The sequence below is a fragment of the Homo sapiens genome, chromosome 14 (assembly GCF_000001405.40).
Source record: "Homo sapiens chromosome 14, GRCh38.p14 Primary Assembly".
Taxonomy (NCBI): domain Eukaryota; kingdom Metazoa; phylum Chordata; class Mammalia; order Primates; family Hominidae; genus Homo; species Homo sapiens.
Window position 1 is genome coordinate 77,850,249 of NC_000014.9, and position 21,939 is coordinate 77,872,187.

At 47.5% G+C, this 21,939-nt stretch overlaps 1 protein-coding gene across 14 annotated transcripts in view, besides 1 other annotated feature; it reads left to right on the forward strand.

Moving 5' to 3' along the window:
* The window catches only part of ADCK1 (aarF domain containing kinase 1), a 134,906-nt gene that overhangs the window by 50,140 nt on the left and 62,827 nt on the right, over window positions 1-21,939 (forward strand). For 11 of the 14 annotated variants that reach the window (NR_158989.2, NR_158987.2, NR_158988.2 and 8 more), the window contains one exon: window positions 8,828-9,031. The exons of 1 other annotated variant lie outside the window; for it this stretch is intronic. Coding sequence is in view for 10 of the 13 variants with exons in the window: in NM_001366487.2 (NP_001353416.1) it covers window positions 8,828-9,031 (204 nt within the window). In the remaining 3 variants the exon portion in view is untranslated. Of the gene's footprint in view, window positions 1-529; window positions 546-6,067; window positions 6,102-8,827; window positions 9,032-21,939 lie in introns of those variants that run through there. 2 more of the 14 variants (XM_047431611.1, XM_017021477.2) reach the window with 2 other exon arrangements.
* Window positions 12,193-12,392: an enhancer, noted in NCBI's record as "active region_8815". NCBI's record gives its function as "activates an Ori minimal core promoter by ATAC-STARR-seq in GM12878 lymphoblastoid cells {active_cell/tissue: GM12878}" and the evidence as "EXISTENCE:reporter gene assay evidence [ECO:0000049][PMID:35858748]".

A 21,939-nucleotide genomic window follows, 5' to 3' on the forward strand; every position in this document is an offset into this window, starting at 1 on the left:
CCTCTTATACTTGAAAATAATGTATATTCTGCTGTTGTTGGACAGTGTTCTATAAATGCCAGTTCAGATTGGTTGATAGTGTTCAAGTCTTTTATATCCTAACTCATTTTCTATCTATTTGTTATATCATGTATTGAGAAGATATTGAAATCTCTGCCTATAATGTGGATTTTTCTGTTTCTCTTTGCAGTTTCATTAGTTTTTTTACGTCATGTATTTCGAAGCTGTTATTGGGTGCATAAATGTTTAGGATGGTATATCCTCTTGATGGATTGATCCCTTTATTGTTATGAAATAATTTTCTTTATCCCTGATAATATTCTTTTCTCTGAAATCAATTTTGTCTGCTATAAATATAGCTGTTTCAGCTTTCTTTTGATTAGCATTGGCATGATATATCTTTTTTTTTTTTTTTTTTTTGAGATGGTGTCTTGCTCTGTTACCCAGGCTGGAGTGCAGTGGCGCAATATCTGCTCACTGCAAACTCCACCTCCCGGATTCACGCCATTCTCCTGCCTCAGCTTCCCGAGTAGCTGGGACTACAGGTGCCCGCCACCACGCCTGGCTAATTTTTTTTTTTGTATTTTTAGTAGCGATGTGGTTTCACCATGTTAGTCAGGATGGTCTCGATCTCCTGACCTTGTGATCCGCCTGCCTTGGCCTCCCAAGGTGCTGGGATTACAGGTGTGAGCCACCACACCCGGCCCGATGTATCTTTTTTTTTATCCTTCTATTGGGTTGGTGCAAAAGTAATCAGTTTTTGCCATTACTTTTAATGAAGACAGCTATTACTTTTGCATCAACTCCGTACATTTAACCTATTTGTGTTTTTATATTTGAAGAGCGTTTCTTTTAGGCAGCATACATTTGGGTCTTTTTTTTTTTTTGAGACAGAGTCTTGCTCTGTTGCCCAGGTTGGAATGCAGTGGCACAATCTTGGCTCACTACAACTTCTGCCTCTTGGGTTCAAGCAATTCTTCTGCCTCAGCTTCCCGAGTAGCTGGGACTACAGGTGCGTGCCACCACGCCTGGCTAATTTTTGTATTTTCAGTAGAGACAGGGTTTCACCATATTGGTCAGGCTGGTCTTGAATTCTTGACCTCATGATCTGTCCACTTTGGCCTCCCAAAGTGCTGGGATTACAGCTGTGAGCCACTGCGCCTGGCCATATTTGGGTCTTTTTAAGAGTAGTTTGACAATCTCTTACTTTTACTTAGGGTGTTTAGGGATAGTTGATAAGGTTGGATTTATGTCTTTGTTCTAGTTATTCGTTTTCTGTTTGTCCTATTTGTTCTTCATTCCTGTTTCCTTTATCACGCCTTCTTTTGGATTGGGTATTTTTCATGGTTGTATTTTACCTCCTTTGTTGGTTTATGAGTTATAATTCTTTTTGTTACTTTAATGATTGCTTTAGTTTATAGTATACATCTTGTCAGTCTATATTTAAGTGATATTATAGTACTTCAAAGAGTATAAGAATCTTAAAATCGTATACTTTCATTGCTTCTGAAGTTTTATGCTATTGATGTAATACATGCTTTTATGTTATAAACACCACATTACATTGTTAATAATTTGGTTAAGCAATCATTTGTCTTTTAAAGAGATATAAAATATAAAAAAGTTCTTGTATATTTACTCATAAAGTTGCTATTTCTGGTCTCTCTGTTCCCTTATATAGATTCATATTTTTATCTGGTTTCATTTTTCTTCTGCCTGATGAAGGCTCTTTATTATTTATGTATTTATTTATTTAATTTTTTTTTTTGAGACAGAGTCTCGCTCTGTTGCCCAGGCTGGAGTGCAGTGGTGCGATCTCGGCTCACTGCAACCTCTGCCTCCCGGGTGCAAGTGATTCTTCTGCCTCAGCCTCCAGAGTAGCTGGGACTACAGGTGCGCGCCACCACGCCTGGCTAATTTTTATATTCTTAGTAGAGGCGGGGTGTCACCTTATTGTCTAGGCTGGTCTCAAACTCCTGACCTCGTGATCCACCTGCCTTGGCCTCCCAAAGTGCTGGGATTACAGGCATGAGCCACCAAGCCTGGCCAGTTCTTTAACATCTCTTGTAGTGCAGGAGATGTTATCTCCTACAGTTTTCCTACATCTGCAAGAACTTTTATACCTTTATTTTTGAAAAATTTTCTTTGCTGGGTTTAGAATTCTTTGTTTTCAGAGATGTTGCTATACTAACTTCTGCTCATATTGTTTCCAGTGAAAAATCTGCCATCATTCGTATCTTTATTCTTCTGTCTGTATCTTTTTTCTCTGTATAAATTGTTTAAAAATATTATGTAGCTTTCTTCATGTTTCTTGTGCTTGGGGCTTGTTGAGGTCCTTGAATTTATTAGTTTATACATTTAAAAAAAATCAAATTTGAAAAAATTTCAGCCATTATTTCTTTAAATAAATAAATATATATATATATATATATATATATATATATATATATATATATTTCACTCCTCATCTCTTCTCCTTTGGGGACTTCAACTACATATTTACTAGGCTGCTTGAATTTGTTCCACAGTTCACTGATGTTCTTTTCAGTAAGAAAAAATTATTTTTACTTCTATGTGTTTCATTCTGAATAGTTTCTATTGCCAGGTTTTCAAGTTCACTAATCTTTTATGTGTGTATATATATATATATATATATATATTTTTTTTTTTTTTTTTTTTTTTTAGAGACAGGGTCTTGCTGTGTTGCCCAGGCTGGTCTCAAAATCTCTGGCTCAGGCAACCCATCGTCCCCCTTGGCCTCCCAAAGTGCTGGGATTACAGGTGTGAGCCACCATGCCTGGCCTGATATTTTTTTCCCCCTGCAATGTCTAATCTGCCATTAATTGCATCTTGTGTGCTTTTCATCTCATGCATTACATTTTTCATCTCTAAAAGTTTGATAGGGTTCTCTTTCTGTCTCTTTTATGTCATCCATGCCTTGGCTTACTGCAACCTCTGCCTCCTGGTCTCAAGCAATTGTCCTGCCTCTGCCTCCCAAGTAGCTGGGATTTCAGGTGCATGCCACCGTGTCTAGCTAATTGTTGTATTTTATGTAGAGATGGAGTTTTGCCATATTGCCCAGGCTGGTTTTGAACTCCTGAGCTCAGGTGATCTGCCTGTCTCAGCCTCCCAAAATGCTGGGATTACAGGTGTGAGCCACTGTGCCTGGCATTGTGCTTTTATTTTTAGGGTGGTAGATATTTTTGTATTCTTATAAATATTGAGCTTTGTTCTGGGACACAGTTAAGTTACCTGAAGTAGTTTGCTTTTTTTGGATCTTGCTTTTAATATTTGTTAGATGGGAATGGAACAGTATTTGTTTTGGGATATATGCCATTACTGACGCAAGGCCCTTCTGGGTGTTGCCACAAATGTCCCATGAACTATGAGATTTTTTTCATCTTGGCTGGTGGAAATAGGTCCTGTGTGAATGCTGGGTACTGTTAACCCTAAGCTTTTTGGGTTATTCTTTTCCTGGACTCAGACAATTTTTGGATATGCACGTGCTGATTGGTACTCAGCTGTATATGCGGTGGGGTCTCTGCAGATCTTTAGTGTTCTTTTTTTGTACAGCTCTCTCCTCACTGCTCTGTCCCTTGAACTCTTTCTGGACTCTCAGCTGTATCTCCTCAATTGAGGAGTCTTCTGGTCACTGCCTGGCTTCCCCTCCCTGCCACTTCAGCCTGGAAACTCCCAATGCAGTGAACTGGGGCATTCATCATGTTCACCTTGTCACCTTGTTTCTTTCTCATCTTTCAGGAATCACTCTTCTTCCTTGCCTAATGTCAAGTGTCTTGAACACCATTGTTTTATATATGCTGTCCAGTTTTTTCAGATGGGAAGGTAATTTTAGCTCCTGTTTTGGAAGAAATGTCAAGGTTGACATCATGATTTATGGCCTGAAAAAGTCCAAGTTTAGCCTTGCCATTTTCTAAGATGGAGAAGACTGGGAAGAACAGGTTTGGTGGTGGTGGGAGTGGTGGGAAAGTCAGGCTAAGTTTGAAGAGCCTGTTGGATATTGGAGTAATTGATGTTAGAGAGGCAGTTGTAATCAGCAAGCTCCAGTAAGAGGAGAGGTCTGGGAAGGAGATACACATTTGTGTGTATCAATGTGCAGATGGTATTTACAGCCATGATACTGGATGAGATCCCCAAGGGAGTATAGTTAGAGTATTGGATTAATCCTGTTTTTTATTTTCTATATTTTCTGGTGCTTTGACATCTTGAAGTTTTGCTGGCATTGGAGGGACCGCTCCTCCCAGGGTCAACTAATTCTTAGAGAGGTAGCAGCTCTCTTCGGAGTGGGCTTTTTTTTTTTTTTTTTTTGAGATGGAGTCTCACTCTGTCATCCAGGCTGGAGTGTAGTGGTGTGATCTTGGTTCACTACAACCTCCGCCTCCTGGATTCAAGTGATTCTTGTGCCTCAGGCTCCTGAGTAGCTGAGATTGCAGGTGCCCTCCTCCATGCCCAGCTAATTTTTTTATATTTTTAGTAGAGGCGGGGTTTCACCATGTTGGCCAAGCTGGTCTTGGACTCCTGACCTCAGGTGATCCACCTGCATTGGCTCCCCAAAGTGCTGGGATTACAGGCGTCAGCCACCCACTCACAGGAGTGTGCTTTTCATATGCAAATCAACAAATTCAGAGCCCTACCTCACAACCACCTACTTTATTAGGCTCTTGAACTCTGGACTACTATTCTTCTGCCCTAATTGCCCCATCATTAGGTAGTAGACAAGTAGGGAGAGCTCCCATGCCAACTAACCAGTCCTAATCCTGTTTACCCTGCCTTGACCTTTCCTTCGCATGGAATAGCAGCAAAGACTCTTGTCCACATTTTCCTGCTTTCCCCCTCTGCCTTTGACTCTGGTGCTTCTTTCCCCACGTGGCCTGGCATGGCATGCCATCATGCCGTCTATTTCTAGAGACTTGTGAGTAAAGGCTTCTGCTTTCATGGTAATCATTTCTGTGTTTGTGTGTCTTACCATGCGTGATTGAAACAAATCCCAATCCCCTTGTAGTAAGTATGGAAACACTAGCCCTGGCTAAATGGATACCCCATGTAATCTTCGTAGCAGCCCTATGAGGTGTAGGTACTATTATTATCTTACTTTTATAGATGTGAAGACTGAAGTAGGGGAAGGTTATGTAACTTGCCCAAGTCCACCAGCTTCTATGTGGTGAAATTGGGATGTAGCCTGAGACACTCTGAAGTCCTGTGTTCTTAACTGCAGAACTATCCCATGTGTGGTCAGGGTGGGGTTCAGTCTGAGGTTAAACTCTGTTAATATGTTTACAAACTGCAACTTGTTTTTTCCCCTAAGACATGATGAGCTTTACTTTGCTGTCTAAATGACAACGTAAAGATTAGCATCTAGAAAAGAGACCTTGCGGACAGTGTGGGCCTGATTTCTTGGGGATGAGGGGTTACAATTTCATTTTTCTGATGGACAGTACACATGTGTGCCATGGGACCCTGCCAAATTAGGAAAGAGATGCTGGATTCTCTCTAATCAAAGCTGGTCTAGTCTGCGTGGCAGAATCTTGTCCATTTAGAGCTGAAAAAAGTAATCAGCTGGACTTTCCATTTTCAGAAGATGCTGAAAAGGGATGATAAAAAAATTTCCCCCATTATCATAATATTTATTATTCATAAGAAATTTGGGAAATACAGGTCAGGTGTAGTGGCTCATGCCTGTAATCCCAACACTTTGGGATTACACCCGCCAAGGTGGGTGGATCACTTGAGCTCAGGAGTTCGATACCAGCCTGGGCAACATAGTGAAACCCCTTCTCTACTAAAAATACAAAAATTAGCTAGGCGTGGTCGCGGGCCCCTGTAATCCCAGCTACTCAGGAGGCTGAGGCAGGAGAATCACTTGAACCCGGAAAGCAGAGGCTACAGTGAGCCGAGATCACGCCATTGCACTCCAGCCTGGGCGACAGAGCAAGATTCTGTGTCCAGAAAAAAGAAATTTGGGAAATACAGAAAAACTTATATAGAAGAAAAAAATACTCTTATAATTTCACAGCCCAGAGATAACACTGTTAATGTTTCATTCCTTTAGGGCTTAAGTTTCTGACTAGAAGAATTAATCAAAGGTCAGTTTGGGGTCTGTTGCCTTCTCTTTCCATGTCTGCCTGTCTCTCTGTGTGTGGGGTGTGTATGTATGACTGTCTGATGGTCTCTTTCCACTCTGACACTTACACACCCCTAAGCCCCATTGGAGATATTGCCCAGTTCTGAAGGGGAGTCCCATGGATTCAGTGTGACATTGATACCTTTCTGCCTAGCTTGGGGACTAGGGCCCCTGCTCTTGGGGCTTTAGATATGGTAAAGGATTGCCCTCCTTGGGCTTTGACTCCATCTGACCTAATCAATAACTAATCAACACTGAGTTGATCTTATTAGCTATTCACTGCCTCCCTCCCAAACCCCAAACCAAGCTGGCTGTGACAATGCTTTTAATTAATATGAGGCAGGTTAAAACTCATTACATAATCCTAGCACTTTGGGAGGCCACGGCGAGTGGATTACTTGAGGTCAGGAGTTCAAGACCAGCCTGGCCAACATGGTGAAACCTCATCTCTGCTAAAAATACAAAAATTATCCGGGTGTGGTGGTATGCGCCTGTAATTAGTTACTCAGGAGGCTGAGGTAGGAGAATCGCTTGTATCTGGGAGATGGAGGTTGCAGTGAGCCGAGACTGCACCACTGCACTCCAGCCTGGGTGTCTCCAAAAAAAAAAAAGTCTAGCAAAGCTTGAAGTGGACAGGCCCCTGCAGGCCTAAGGATGGCCTGCTAGTGCCTGGAGTCTGAGACAGCCCCTCTGCTGTGTCGGGAGGTGGGCGGATGGGCCCTCTGGCTGCTGGGTTGAGGGTGTTCAGGGCTGCAGCAGTCTCTTCTGAGCAGCAGCGATCTGGGCGTGGTGGCTCATGATGGTAATCCCAGCACTTTGGGAGGCCGAGGTGGGTGGATTGCTTGAGCCTGGGAGATGGAGACTGCTGTGAGCCATGATTATGCCACTGTACTTCACTCTGGGAGACACAGTGAGACCCTTTCTCAAAAAAAATTGTGCAAATTTATGGGGTACATGGGAAATTGTTACACATTTATAATGTGTGGTGATTAAGTCAGGGTATTTAGGGTAGCTATCACCTGAGTACAATACAGTTTTCTAAATATAGTCATTCTCCTCTGCTATCAAACATTGAATTTATCCTTTCAAGTTTACTTTATGTTTGTACCCTTTAATCCACTTCTCTTCATCCTCTGCCTGCCCAACACCCATACTGGCTGGTTTGTTATCTGTTTTTCCACTCTCTACTTCCAATATCACATGTTCTCTCTTACATGTGGGAGCTAAAACAAAAACGAAAACAAAAAAACTTCTTAATTTCTAAATTTCCTGTGTGGTTCACTTGGCAACTAATTATACAGGATCTTTGAATGCTTTTTCCACCTTTGTTGTCAACTGTTATTTAACTCCTCGCATGATTTTATGGCCCCCAATATGTGTTATTACATCAGCGTCCTACGTGGCACTGAAGAGTATAAGTCCATCCTCGTGGTTCACTCTCTTGGTTGACTGAGATGGGAGGAGGCAGGTACCAGGTCCCCACAGGGTACTGGGGTCCCTTGTCTTCTGCATGTGCCCATGGCCCCATCCTGCCTCAGAGGCTTTAGCTCCTAGAAGGTAGGACCTTCATAGTACCAAGGCCCTCAACTGGGCAGGGGGGATGACTGTGGATATGCAGCCTGGCGGCAGATGGGGCCACCTCCCAACTCTGGAAGGACCGGTGAGCATCCGGATGTTAATTAAGGCTACTCTGTCCTAGGCAACCTGCCCAGATGCCTTCTCCATGTGCCTCATACCCCCCACTACAGTGACTCCTCCAGTTAATAGGAGACCCCTGCTAAAGTTTGCTGCACTAAAGAGCCCTAGATTTTGGAGTGTTTTCTAGACCTTCCTTTGATATTTATTAGTGATTTCTTTCTTTCTTTTTTGAGACAGAGTCTCGCTCTGTTGCCCAGGCTAGAGTGCAGTGGTATGATCTCGGCTCACTGCAACCTCCGCCTCCTGGGTTCAAGCAATTCTCTGCCTTAGCCTCCCAAGTAGCTGGGATTACAGGTGCCCGCCACCATGCCTGGATAATTTTTTTTTTGTATTTTTAGTAGATATGGGGTTTCACCATCTTGGCCAGGCTGGTCTTGAACTCCTGACCTCATGATCCACCTGCCTTGGCCTCCCAAAGTGTTGGGATTACAAGCGTGAGCCACCGCGCCTGGCCTAGTGATTTCCTTAGCAACAAAACGACGGAGTTTATCTTCTTTAAAGATACCAAAACTTGCTTCCCTGAGGTGCTGTGAAGATTAAAAGATACCATACATATGACCATGTTTTATAAAACGTAGCAATCCAAACAAACAAAGCATAATTGGTATGTCTGAGGGGTGGGTGGCAAATACTTTAACTCTGTGTCCCTTGAATGAGTCATTAGTAGGTTAGACTTGGTTAAAAGCCTTGAATGCTTATTTCTAGGGAGTGGGACCCAGACTAGGTAAGTTTTGATGAAGAGGAGGAGATAGGAAGCACTGGGCCGTGTTTGAAGGGCGGCCTCTGTATGAGGTTGGAGTTGACTGCCCCGTGTACCAGGAAGCTGGACACCAAGGGAAAAGGTGTGTGTGTGTGCGTGTGTGTGCATGCATCTGCCCTGGGCATTGTGGGGTAATGAGGGTTTTCAAGCAGAGCAGGAAGGTGAAGGGAACAAGGTGTAGGGAACAGTCTGCACTCACACCTCTCTGGTCCTGGCCTGTCTTCCTGCAGGTGCACCTTCGCTCTGCCAGGCGTCTCTGTGAGCTCTGCTGTGCCAACCGGGGCACCTTCATCAAGGTGGGCCAGCACCTGGGGGCTCTGGACTACCTGTTGCCAGAGGAGTACACCAGCACGCTGAAGGTACTGCACAGCCAGGCTCCACAGAGCAGCATGCAAGAGATCCGCCAGGTCATCCGAGAAGATCTGGGCAAGGAGGTACCCACCTTTGCAGGGGGGATGGGCCTTGGTTGGGATGCTTCAGAAAAGGCCCCGGCTGAATTCTTGCAGCCTCGACCAGGGTGCTGGGGATCCACCAGTGACACAAAACCAAATGTCACAGCCACTCTCAGTGCTGAAATCAAAGAGGTTAGAAGGAATCTCAGTGGCCCTCAGTGAAACATACCAGTTCAACCATATGAAATAGTTCATATGAGACTGTTATTGACCTGAAACCTATATATCATTCATATGGTTCAACCTAATAATAAATGTCACTTACTGAAGGTTTAAGGCCTTATTGAAGCTTTATCCTCAGTAGGGCTTTGAAGCCCCATCCCATCTGGTTTCAACCTACCTGTCTGTAAGTTGGTGGGGCAGAGTGACACTGTGGTTTAGACTCTAGAGCCAAGAGCTTGGACCTTGCACAAATGATTGATCTTGGCACCTCACTTTCCTTATCTATAGCCCACCACATAAGGTTGCTGTGCAGATTACACGGGATAATGAATAGAAGGTGCTTAGTATAGTACCTGATGTAGAGCAAGTGCTCAACAAATATTAGCTATTATTTGTATAGTAATGGTGTTCTATACTATTGTGGTTGTTGTTTCCCTACGCTCTGGTCCCATTGTGCTACCTGTCTCAAACTCACTGTGTTGTCTTAGTCCTCAGTGCTTGTGCCGTGGTCTACCATCTGCCTGATGTCTTTGCTTCATTCTCTACTTGTCAAGTGACTTCAGGCCATCTGCCTATCTGTCCACCCAGCTAGCAAATCCCAGGCAGGGTGCTAGGTGCTGGGTTTCCCGTCCAAACCCCAGCTCTTCTAGGAAGTCTTCTGTGACCCTCCCTTGACCGATCTTATCCCTCCTTTGGGCTCTGCAGAACTTTGCTCCCTGCACTTGTGCAACTTGTGGCTTGATTAGTTGTGTCTAAGGATTTCCCTGCAAGTCATAGTCTTTGAGGATGAAGACCATGACAGTCCTTTTACTCTGTATTTACAGCTCTGGAACAGTACCTAGCAGGTGCCCTGGGTCTGCTTAAAGAGCCAATGGATGAACTAGAAATAGTGTTGTTAGGCTACTTGGCGCAGGGCCAGGAGAGTAGGGCAGAGGTTTGATAAAGACCAGTGGTTCCCTTTTTACAGGGAGCTGGCACTGACTATTGGTCCCTTAATGTGGAGCTGGCCCCAGGTACGCAGCATCCATTCAAAGGTGTCCCACTTCTCAGTGATATCCTGGCCTGGAGCGGGGGTTGGATCATACAGCAGGTGAACATAGAAACATCTCTGACTCCTCTGCCACTGAGGAACATGTCCTCCAAAGGGAGAGACATTGAGTGAAAGGTAAACCCGAACTGTGGCTGGAGTCAGGGAGCAGGCTGCAAGCTGGGAGGAGCAGGGTCAGGAGAGAGGGACCCCAGGCAGAGGGGACTGAATTGGCATAGTGCTGGCCCACTCATGGCTTTGCCTCTTGCCAAGACTCTTGGCCCCCAGCTTCTAACAGCACGAGATTCACCCCCAAATTAAAACTAAATAAATCACGGTAATAACAGTGTGAAGTGCATCATTGCTGGCGTGTGGCAGCTCTCTGGGGGTGGAAACAAGGAGCAGGAGGCAGCAGGTTAACCCTTGGAGGCTGACTTGTCTGGAGAGCTGGGGAGGGAGGTGGGACAAGGGCAGGTTAGTGGCTGTCCCCAAGCCAGGGTGGAGTGAGGGAAGTTTGGAGTGTCAGCAGTCATGGTGGCCCACCCAGCTGGCTAAAGAATGTTTGGGGTTGGAAGACGTCGCCTGATCTTCAGGGCCCCTTCTCCAGTCCCCTCCACCCCCTGCCGATTAGCCCTGAGCACAGTGGCCATGTGGCTCCTGCCCCCACAATGCTTCTTTAGACCCCTGAGGAAATGGGCTACTGTCCATGTCATGGTTCTGAGGGGTGTCCCTCGCAGCTGGGGAGCTTCTTCAGAGCCCTCTGGGTTCTTACCAGGGCCCCACAGGCACACACTCTGTCTTCCCTGCCCTCTTCCTCCTCCTCCCCCTTGGAAGATGGCATTTGTTCCCTGGTGACACACTTTCCCAGTGTGTGGGTGGAGGGAGGGGAGCGGGGCCATGTGGGAAGAAGGGTGGGTGCGTGTGGGGGTGTGAGGGCGGGGTAATGTCACTCACTTGGCATTTCCAGCCTCCTCCAGCCCCTCCCATGACACTTCTCGGGGAGCAGTCTCGCCTCCAGGATGCTTGAGTGGGCCCCACTCATCCTCAGCTCCATGCCAGCCCTAAGACCTTCTGCAGAAAGCTCCATTTCATCCCTGGCTTAAAAGAGGCTGTCAGTTATGCCTCACCACCTTCCTAGGTCCCAGTCCTCGGATAGGCTTTGAGGTTACCTTGAGCTCAGAGATTCCATAAGTGCTCCTAAAGCTCAGACTGTAGAGAGCGGTGGTGTGGTGAGGGAGGTGCTTGGATGGTCAACAGCAGTGTTAGAGGTCACTATGTCCTCAGACCCATCCCTGTTGCAGGCAGGTGGGGCCCGGCCCTGTGGGGCATTCCCAGCATAGGTGTGGGGGTAAGATTGAGGGTGCAGTACTTCTGGACCCCACGGTTCATATGCATTTCTGGATCAGCCAGAATTTCTGCACATCAGCTGGCACCATCAGTGCAGAGGTGAGGGCACTCGAAGGGGCACTCTCCTTGCATAGCATTGGCTCAGGCAGGGAGTGCGCTGGGGCCACATTGCTAAGGGAGGGCTGGTGACAAGCAATGGGATGAGACCTCATGTCCTCTAATTCCCAGGCTGGTGATTCGTCCCCTACATAACAGCTTCTGTTTGGCAGGAAAAAAAGCAGTTGTGTGTGTGTCTGTGTGTATCTTGGAAGTTTCTCAGCTAGTATTACCAGAAAGAAACTTACTTTTTTTCCTTTATTTGGTTGTTAGGCTTATATCCTGAAAGACAGGTTCCAGGAAGCAATCAGGAGCCCAGCCTCTGGGAGGTGGGGTCGTTTCTGCCTCCTCAAAAGTGACCTCGTTCTGGACTGGGTCAGGGGTGGTCCCAGCCTTGGTCCCCTTGACTGCCCTTGGGGCTGTGGGTCCAGATGCAGTGCTGACCTTGGCCAGCAGATGGCGCCTGAGCTTGCAAGTCAGGGATGGTTGTAAAGACCTGGCCCTTCTCTTTGTGGGGGGATCCCTGACCAGGTGGATGAGACTGGGGGTCTTTCTGCTCTTGGGCATGGTTCGTGCTGTTGAAGGAACGCAGGCTGACATCTCTACACCCTGAATGGGCATGCATAGCCTCAGCCACGAGGCTGTTGACCACCCTGGGTGCCTCAGCCCTTGACTCCATGTTGGAGGACGTGGTATTGGAGTTAGGAGTTCTCTGATGCTCCGCAGTCTCTGATGGCCAGTGATTCTGTGCTTCAGCACCTTTTCCTTCATTCCTTCTCTCTCCTGCTGGTCTACGCGGTTGGCATTTAGTGAAAAAGGACAGTGCCGGACATTTGGGTGTAGCCAGGGATGGGTACGACCTCATTCCAGTCCTCACAGTCCAGGGTCATGGGAGGTTCACTCATCATGGTAATACATGGCCACATAGTGCCCAACGAGCTTGCAGAGGAGAGAGAGGTTGCCTTGGGCAGATGGAGGCTTTCTGAAGCAGGTGGCCTCTGACCCAGCCCCTTAGAGATGGATGGAATTGGAGGAGGTGGATGTTGGAGGAAGTGATTACTGATTAATAAGCTGGGTTCAGCAGAGGTGCAGGGACAGGAAAGCATAAAGCATGGAGGTGAACAGTGAGGTCTTGTTGATTACAATGTGGCGTTCAGCCGGTGAATAGTGGAGCAGAGGTTGTAGGATTGGGGCTGAGGTCACATTATGAAGGGCCTAGAATGTTCTTTTCAGAATGTGAGTCTGAGGGAGAGGAGGACTTGGGGAGGGACCTGATCAAAAGAAGGACGAAGAGACTGAGATATACGGAGTGGGGTGGGGCATGTGGTCGGGTGGTTGAAGGAATTTGCCTAATAGGCTGAATATTTAGTAATGTGGGAGATGAGGTCATCTTTGAAAAGTGGAGGAAGATATAGATGGGGAGGTTTGAAGTGGGTGGGAAGCTTGGGGATAGAGTTATCGTGGAAATTAAGGGATGATCTTTGAATTGTCAGCCACACTATGCTGTTATCTTTGGTCATGCACACACATACACACACGCACACACACACACACACATCTATACCTGCCCCCATGACATACAGACAAGTCAGATCTTGTTACAGCCTATTTCAAGAAATGGTCCAAGCCGTGCGTGGTGGCTCATGCCTGTAATCCCAGCACTTTGGGAGGCTGAGGTGGGTGGATCACTTGAGGTCAAGAGTTCGAGACCAGCCTGGCCAACATGGGGAAACCCTGTCTCTACTAAAAATAGAAAAATTAGCTGGGTGTGGTGGTGGGCGCTTGTCATCCAAGCTACTTGGAAGGCTGTGGCAGGAGAATCACTTGAACCCAGGAGGCGGAGGTTGCAGTGAGCTGAGATCAGGCTATTGGACTCCAGCCTGGTCAAGAGAGTGAGACTCTGTCTCAAAAAGAAAAAAAAAAAGAAATGGTCCAGTTCTGTCCTAGAATATAGTTATATCAGATAAGGTTCTGTCCACCTCTGAAATCCCATGAGAAACTGAAGGAAATGAGGCCAGCTGCTGGCATGGAGCACAGAAATACCTCTGTTAGGGGCAATGCTTATATTGGTGTCTGGGTGGTGTGGTTTGGCTTTTGTACTCTGAAATTTGTTTTTATCAGTTTTTCACCCCCTGGTCTTTCCTCCCAGGGGAACTTATTTTACAGCTCCCCATAGTACGTAGGGACAAGCGTATGCTGCAGGTGCTCTGTGTTCTTGATGCACCATCTGACTGGAGTTTCAATGAGAATGAAGGAGAGAGAAGGTGCAGGGGTACCGTTGTGCAACGGGTAGAATAATTCATATCCAGTTGTTTTGTAAGAGCCTGTGGGTGCAGTGGGAGGGCAGCTTGTCTTGTTTGCTCAAGGTTTAAGCAAATGTTCAGAAAAGAGATAAAGAAGCCTTTCCTCCAAGAATATAAACTGTTTATCCAACTTGTTGGTGGTAGAGGCAGAGAGCAGGCACTGTAGGCGCAAGGACCAGCATGAACAAGGCAGAAGTGGAGAGATGAGGCAGGAGAAGGCCTGCCTGGGCGAGGGGCACACAGCACCTCTGTTGTCCCATGGAGAACTTGATGGGAGGGGGTAAAAGGTGCCCTCTTTTTGCATCTCTTCCTCCAGGCTATGGCAGGTTGGCCAGAGCTGGGCTGGATTTCATTCCTGTGTAACTCAGGGCTCTCTAGAGAAACAGAACCAATAGGATATGAATGTGTGTGTGTGTGTGTGTGTGTGTATGTGTGTTTGTGCATGCATGTTTGCTTGTGTGTGTGTATTTAGAGCTAGAGAGAGAGAGAGAGACTGATTGATGTTAAGGAATTGGCTGATGTGGGTTATAGAGGCTGGGAAGTCCAAAATCTGCAGAGTGGCCCAGCAGGCTGGAGACCCAGGAAGAACCGATGGTGCAGTTCAAGTCTGAAGGCTGTTTGAAGGTTACCTGCTGGCAGAATTCCTTCTTGCTTGGGGAAGGTCAGTCTATGTTCTGTTCAGACCCTTATCTGATTGCATGAGGCCCACTCATGCTATGGAGAGTAATCTGTTTTATTCAAAGTCCACTAATATAACTGTAAATCTTGGCTGGGCACAGTGGCTCATGCCTGTAATCCCAGCACTTTGGGAGGCTGAGATGGGAGGATTGCTTGTGCACAGGAGTTCGAGACAAACCTGGGCAATATAGGGAGACCCCATCTCTGTTAAAAAAAAAAGTTAAAAAAATTGAATTAAAAAAACAAACAAACAAACTGTAAATGTCACCTAAAAATACCCTCACACAGCTGAGTGCGATGGCTTATGCCTGTAATCCCAGCACTTTGGGAGGCTGAGGCAGGCAGATCACCTGAGGTTAGGAGTTCGAGACCAGCCTGGGCAACATGGTGAAACCTCCGTCTCTACTAAAAAAAATACAAAATTTAGCCAAGTGTGGTGGTGCACACCTGTAATCCCAGCTACTCAGGAGGGTGAGGCAGGAGAATCCCTTGAACCCGGGAGGTGGAGGTTGCAGTGAGGCAAGATCACTCCACTGCACTCCAGCCTGGGTGACAGAGTGACACCCCGTATCAAAACAAAAACAAAAACAAAACCCCTCACAGAAGCATCCAGAGTAATGCTTGGCCCAGTATCTGGGTGCTGTGGCCCAGCCAGGTTGACATGTAAAATTAACCATCATGATTCCCTATGTGGCCCTCAGCCAGGATTTCACATGTGTACCCTCGGTCTGCTTTCACACGGCCTGGAGCTTCATAGCGAGCCTTGGCGGTAGACAGGAGCCAAACTGCCTGTTGGTATATTGGCTTTGTGGCCTTGGGCATGTTACTTAACCTCTCTGTCCTGTCCCTCCATTTCCCGATCTCTAAAATTGGAATCATAACACTACCTGCCACCTAGGCTTGTTGTGGGGATGGATTGAGTTAATGATTGTGGAGCATCTAGTGCAAGCTTGCTGCAGGGCAAGGGGCAGTAAACGTTAATAATTCTTTCTGTGTATTGTGCTGTGTGCTTTTTATGAGCAGGTACTGGGGTTCTGAGAGACTCGTAAATGGCAGAGTTCCATCTTTACCTGGGCTTTCTGATAACTGGTACAGCTCTCTGTCCCATATTCAGTCATATGTTGCTTAATGATGGTGATATGTTCTGAGAAATGCATCATTAGGTGATTTTGTTGCTGTGTGAACATCATAGAGTACTTACACAAACCTAGATGGGACAGCCTACAATATACTTTGGGTATATGGTATAGCCTGTTCTTTTCAGAATATGAGACTGAGGGAGGCTTGAATCTAGGCAATTGTAACACAATGGTGCGTATTTATCTGTCTAAACATAGAAAAGGTTCAGTAAAAATATGGTATTATTAATATAATGGATCGCTTTTGTATATGTGGTCCGTTGTTGACCGAAATGTTGTTATGCGGCACATGACTGTACTGTTTTGCTAGAATAATCCTCCTTTCTCTTCCTCTTCCTGATCAGTACCCAGCACTCTATCTGGTCAGCCTCTTCCCGCTACTTTTAGAAATCCCCACAGGCTCCCAGGCAGCCTGGGTTTCTAGGGCTCTGTCTCCCACTTTGGGGGGTTACCTGGGGGGCAGCTCAGCTGGTTAGGGTTAATTGCTGCAGTTTCCCAAGGCCCTTTGGCAGCTCTCCTCTGGATTAGGGACTCTGAAGTATGTGCTCTTGGTCTCCAGGCAGGGCTAATTCCATGGATGAGGGGTGAGAGGAGGTGGAAGTCTGGCCAGATCGCCAACAAGGAGTCACAGGTGCCTGTAGTCATGGAGTTGGTGGTTGTGCTGTATTTAGGACCCACTCACCTAACCCTCTTCACTTGCAAGGTGGCAGCCAGATTCAGCTTCCCTTACAGTGTCCTGGTGGGGCCGGGTGTGGGCTATATCCAGGGCTGAGCATGCCCTGGGCTGGACTAGGAGTAGGGAAGTGGTTAGAGCAGAAGCGGGGCAGGAGAGCCCCTCCTACCCTGGGGTCTGACTCCACCTGTGCCTGCAGCCCCCGCAGGGGAGAGATGCCTCCAGGCTCTCATATTGTTTGCTTCTTTCCAGCACTGATCCAACTTCTCCCCATCCTCCTCTTATTTACTCATGTGCATTTATTGAGCACCTCCTCTGTGCCAGGTACTACACCAGCCCCTGGGGTTCCTGCCCCCTGGAGCGCCCTGGCTGTGCCCCTTGGAGTGCCATTCTCCCATGCTGGCAGGGTCCAGCTGAGGTCAGCTCACCCTCTAGCAGCCCAGGCTGCATCACGGGCCCAAAGCTACCTGGAAACCTTTGGCGGTCTGTAGACTTGCTTCTCCTGGTCCTGAGCACCACCTTTGTTTGTTCAGGCATCTGGTTTGTCTCCCCAGACTGTCCCCAAGAAGGCTACCAAATGAATATTCTGGGAATGGAACAGAAGGATCTGGTGGCCATGAAGCCATGTACAGGAGGACTAGGGGCCAGGGAGTGGGATCGCCTCCTCCCAGCTGGGCCTCATCCTGCCTTCCCAGCAGCTCTCAATAAAAAATACATTTGTATTAAAAACATAATGAAGAATAAAAAAACCCATTTCCCCCCCAATAATGCTGACATCAAAAGAAGATTTTTATCAATTATGAGAGAGATTTCGGCCATAAAATTGCAATTTAACTAGTGGGAGATGGATGGCAGGAAGCATTGCTGTCAGCACGGACGGATGGCCTGCTGTTAGTCACTGCGGGAGAGGCAAGGCAATGGTCGAGGTGGCCCTGGCTTGTGCTTCCTGCTGATGCCCCATCTGGCCCGACCTTCTCCCTGTGACCACTGCCCTCCTGCAGGCCTGTACCCTGTCTGTGCCCTGCTCCCGGCCTGTGTCCTGCACCTTGAATCCTGGTGTCACCATGTTCTATGTCATCCTGGGTAAGTTTTGTGATTTTGCTGAGCCTTGGTTTCCTCATGTTTAAACAGGGATGATAAGAGAGCCTTCACATGAATAGGGCTGTGGTGAGGAATGAATGCTATAGCCCAGCCAAAGTGCACTGCCTGGTGAATGGTAAATGCCAGTTCACTGTCAGCTGTGCTTGTTACGTGTCGAGTTGTTGCGAGAGCAAAATTTGGCAGTTAAGACCAGCACCCTCATCTTGTATCCAGCACCTTGCCTGGTGCCTCGATCTTCCTGAGGTTTAACAAATACTGACTCTGTTTGTTCACCTTCTGTTGTTCAGTGGCAAGTGCTTTGGACAAAAGTTATCTGGGAGAATCACTCATGGGTTGTGAGGGCTTATAAATCATTTAGTGCGACCCCCACATTTCACAGGTGAGGAAACTGAGGCTCAGAGAGGGGCAGTCACTTGCTTAATGACACAACTGGTTGGTGGTAGAAACAGGACTAGAACCCAGGTCTCCTGATTCCTGATCCAGTGCTCTTTCTCCTGGACTATTCTGTTTCAGATGGAAGCTCAGTGCCCGGAAGAGAGGGCAGCACTCAATCGAGCAATCGGGCTGGGCTTGCTGTCAGAGCCACCCAGTGGGCCTCCGTAGCTTGCATTGTCCTTGGGACCTTGTAGTTTCCTGCGGACTTTGAGGAAGCCATATTTTCCTAAGTCCAGGATCCTATGGTTCTTTTTGTCCTTCTTCCAGTCTTTTGTCTTGCCAGTGGTTTGGGGTGATTATACTAATGTGCTCACCAGTTCACTCTCAGTCCACAGGCTGCACGTGGGGTGCCTCCCCTTTGTTGGGATCTAGTGCTCAGGGTCGTGCCCAAGCCCTCTGATCGGCTGGTGTGTCTGGATTGTTCCATACCCACTTCCTGCAGATAAAAGGCCTCAACCCATGGTGGCCCCATTCACTAACCCCGGGAAGGTTGGGACCCACCACTTGTTGGTTTGCTTACCTAGAGAATACAGATTTGTAGAGCAACTGCTATTCTCTTACCCATGTGCCACTGCAGCGGGGGATATACAGAATGTTAAAGCTGTGCCCCTCCCTCCAAAGCCAAGCAGGCAGAACCGTGCACAGAGGGAGTAATTAGAGAACAATTAAGCCCTCAGCTGTGGGGCTGATGGTTGGGAAGTTCAGGGGAAGTTCAGAGGCGGGTTCCTGGTGGTGGGGGTTTGGGCTTTGAACTGGTCCTTGAAGGGTGGGTAAGATTTGAGGAGGGGAATTCTGAGGGCACACAGGGTTGGCAGTTGGTGGTGAGTAATGACCACAGGTAATTCAATGCCCAGAGAGCCGACAAGCTGGCCTGGAGTGGCAGGGAGCTTTGGTTGGATGGCGTATTGGTTTTCTCGGGCTAGCCGCAAACCTCTGGCTTAAACAACAAATGTATTGTCTCACAGTTCTGGAGGCCAGAGGTCTGAGATCAAGGTATCAGCAGGGTGGGTTCCTTCTGAGGCCGCGAGGGAGGATCTGTTCTAGGCCTCGGCCCTAGCTTCTGGGGGGTTTGCTGGCAATCCCTGCTGTTCCTTGGTTTGGAGATGCATCTCCCCAATCTCTGCCTTCATCTTCACATGGTATCCTCTTTATGTGGGTGTCTGGCTCTGTGTCCAAATTTCCCCTTTTTATAAGGACACAGTCATGTTGGATTATGATTGTGCTATTCCAGTATGACCTCATCTTAACTAATTATTAATATATCTGCAATGACCTCATTTCCAAATAAGGTCACATTCTAGGCTGGGGTTAGGACTTCCACATATGAATATTTATGGAGCACAGTTCAACCCACAACAGATGGGTGCATTAGGTCTTCTGTGGTTGTAAGGATCTTAACTCCAACTTGAACTAGCTAAGGCAAAAAAGGAGATGTGTTACATTGTAGTTAGGGTTGGGCTAGAGTTGGGCCTTGGGGTGTCTTCTGGGACTCTTGTATCTCTCCCAGCAACTTCTGTCTGTGGGTCAGCCTCATTCACAGCTGCTTCCCTCCATGACCAGCTGCCATTGACAGCTTTTAGCCTCACCTCTTCTCAGCTTCACACCTAAGAGGGCCTGACCCTGCTCCCCAATTTCAGGACTCTGATTGACTTAGCCTAAGTCAGATGTTGTACCGGGTTAAATAGTGTCCACTCCACCCAGCCCCACTTTTCTTTATAAATTACCCAGCCTCAGGTATTTATAAAAACGTGAGAATGGACCAACACAGATGGGTAAAGGCAGACAAGATGGTAGGTATTAGTGTTGGTGGATAATAACATATGGTTGTGTTTATTTGGTACTTGTTATGTAGTGTGCATTGGCTGGATGTGTTACAGATATTGTTTGTAACCTTTACAATAACTCTGTAAGGCTGGTAGATTACCATTCTGGTTTTCCATCTGAGGAGGCAGAGGCCCTGAGAAGGTAACAGCTATGTTCATGTAGCCAGTAAGAAGCAGAACCAGGATTTGAGCTCTGATGACATCTCCACTCTTCCCGCTATGCAGCTCCTAGCCCTGCAGAAGGGCTGGTTTCTGGGGGACGTTAAAGAGAGCCATAGGCATTGGGTCTTGCTGTGGCAAGTTTTAGGGTATCTTCTTAGGCCCCAGGTCTTAGAAGTAAAGTCAAATCAGCTAATAGCCTGTGTGTTCTTGTGTGTGCCCAAGACTGATAAAGAGACATTTTAGGCAAAGTGAGCTAATGGTGTAGGACGGATGGAGGGAGCCAAAGGAGGGGCCCTGCGAGGAGGCTCTTTCCATCATCCATATCTTGCAAAGGTGAGCTCTCCCTATGGAACCTTTTTAGCTGTCTCCCTAAGCTGGGGCAGGTGCCATTTTTTTCTCCCCTCAACATCCCCCTGGAGCTCAGAGCGTGAGTGTCCCAGGTTGGGCAGTGAGTCAGGAGGCCATAGCCTGGAGGACAAATGCCATGGTTATGGCTCTTGAAGGACTTGCCCTGGCAGTTGGCCCCATGCCTTCTAGGACTGCCACAGGGGTCACAGAGTCCTCATTTCCTCCCTGACTGGAACTCGTGGCCTTCCCTCTCTTCTCCAGGGAGAAGGGGAACAGGTCTCCCCTGCAGGCCACTCAGGGCTGGGGCTGTCAGTATGGGCAGGGTGGATGTGATTGCAGTGGCTTCTGATGCCTCTCCCTGTCTCCTCGTGACCCAGAGGTCTGTTCTTCCTCGTGGCAGTCCTGGGAGAGGGGATGGCTTTTTGGAGGAGCCTCAGGCCTGCCCAGATGTACAATGAACATACTGGCCAACATGGCCAAATGAGTGAGGAATACATGCTTGTCTTAGTTTGGGCTTTCCTAAAAACAAACAATAATTTGAGTAAAAGTGATGTTGTGGGATGCTCAGATGTTGCCAGTAGGGAAGTGGGGATGTGGTTCAGGAAGGGGGAGGCAGCTGGTAACTCTCTGCTCTTAAACCAGTGGCTACTGTGGGCAAAATCAGGTTAGTCCTGTGGGCAGACTGGGAAATGGTGTCAAATACGTACCTTTCACCCATCCCACCCAAGGGCCAAGGTAGGATATTCATTCATACACCAACTTCCTAACTTCTTCTTTTTTTTTTGAGACAGAGTCTCACTCAGTTGCCCAGGCTGGAGTGTAGTGGCATGATCTCTGCTCATGGCAACCTTTGCCTCCCGGGTTCAAGCGATTGTCCCGCCTCAGCCTCCCAAGTAGCTGGGATTACAGTCATGCGCCACCAAGCCAGGCTAATTTTTGTATTTTTAGTAGAGACAGGGTTTCTCCATGTTGGCCAGGCTGGTCTCAACCTCCTGGCCTCAGGTGATCTGCCCATCTTGACCTCCCAAAGTGCCCGGCCCTAACTTCTTTAACTGACAGCTGCTCCTGGGAGCTGATACTTCCTGAGACTTGGAAGTCCCAGGGAGTCTCTGGCACAGATGCAAATCCTGGGGGTCATGCAGGAGCTGAAGGGGAGGTCTGAGGGGAGCAGGTGGAGCACTGTCAGGGCTAGGCCAGCATCATCTCAAAGAAGCCTCACAACTGCTCTGTGAGAGTAAGTACTGTTTTTATTATTCCTATTTCACAGAGGTGCAAACTGAGGCCAGAGATGTTAGGTCTCATGCCTAAGTCACTCAGAGAGCGTGAGCAGAGTCAGGTCTGGCTTCAGAACCCAGGCTTTCTAACCCCAGCATTCCATGGCTCTTTGCAAAGGGTCCTGCGCTTTTCACAAAGTTTTCTCATCTTAGCAGCTTACGCCTTCTGTCAGCATTCCCAAGTGGGAGGCAGGGCAGGCAGATGAGGAAACCTCGCAGGTCAAGGAACTGAATATTTAGCATTTCCTCTGTCCTGGGCATGAATTAGATGTTTTCAAACACATGGTCTCATCTAGTCCTCACAACAGCTCAGAGAGATTGG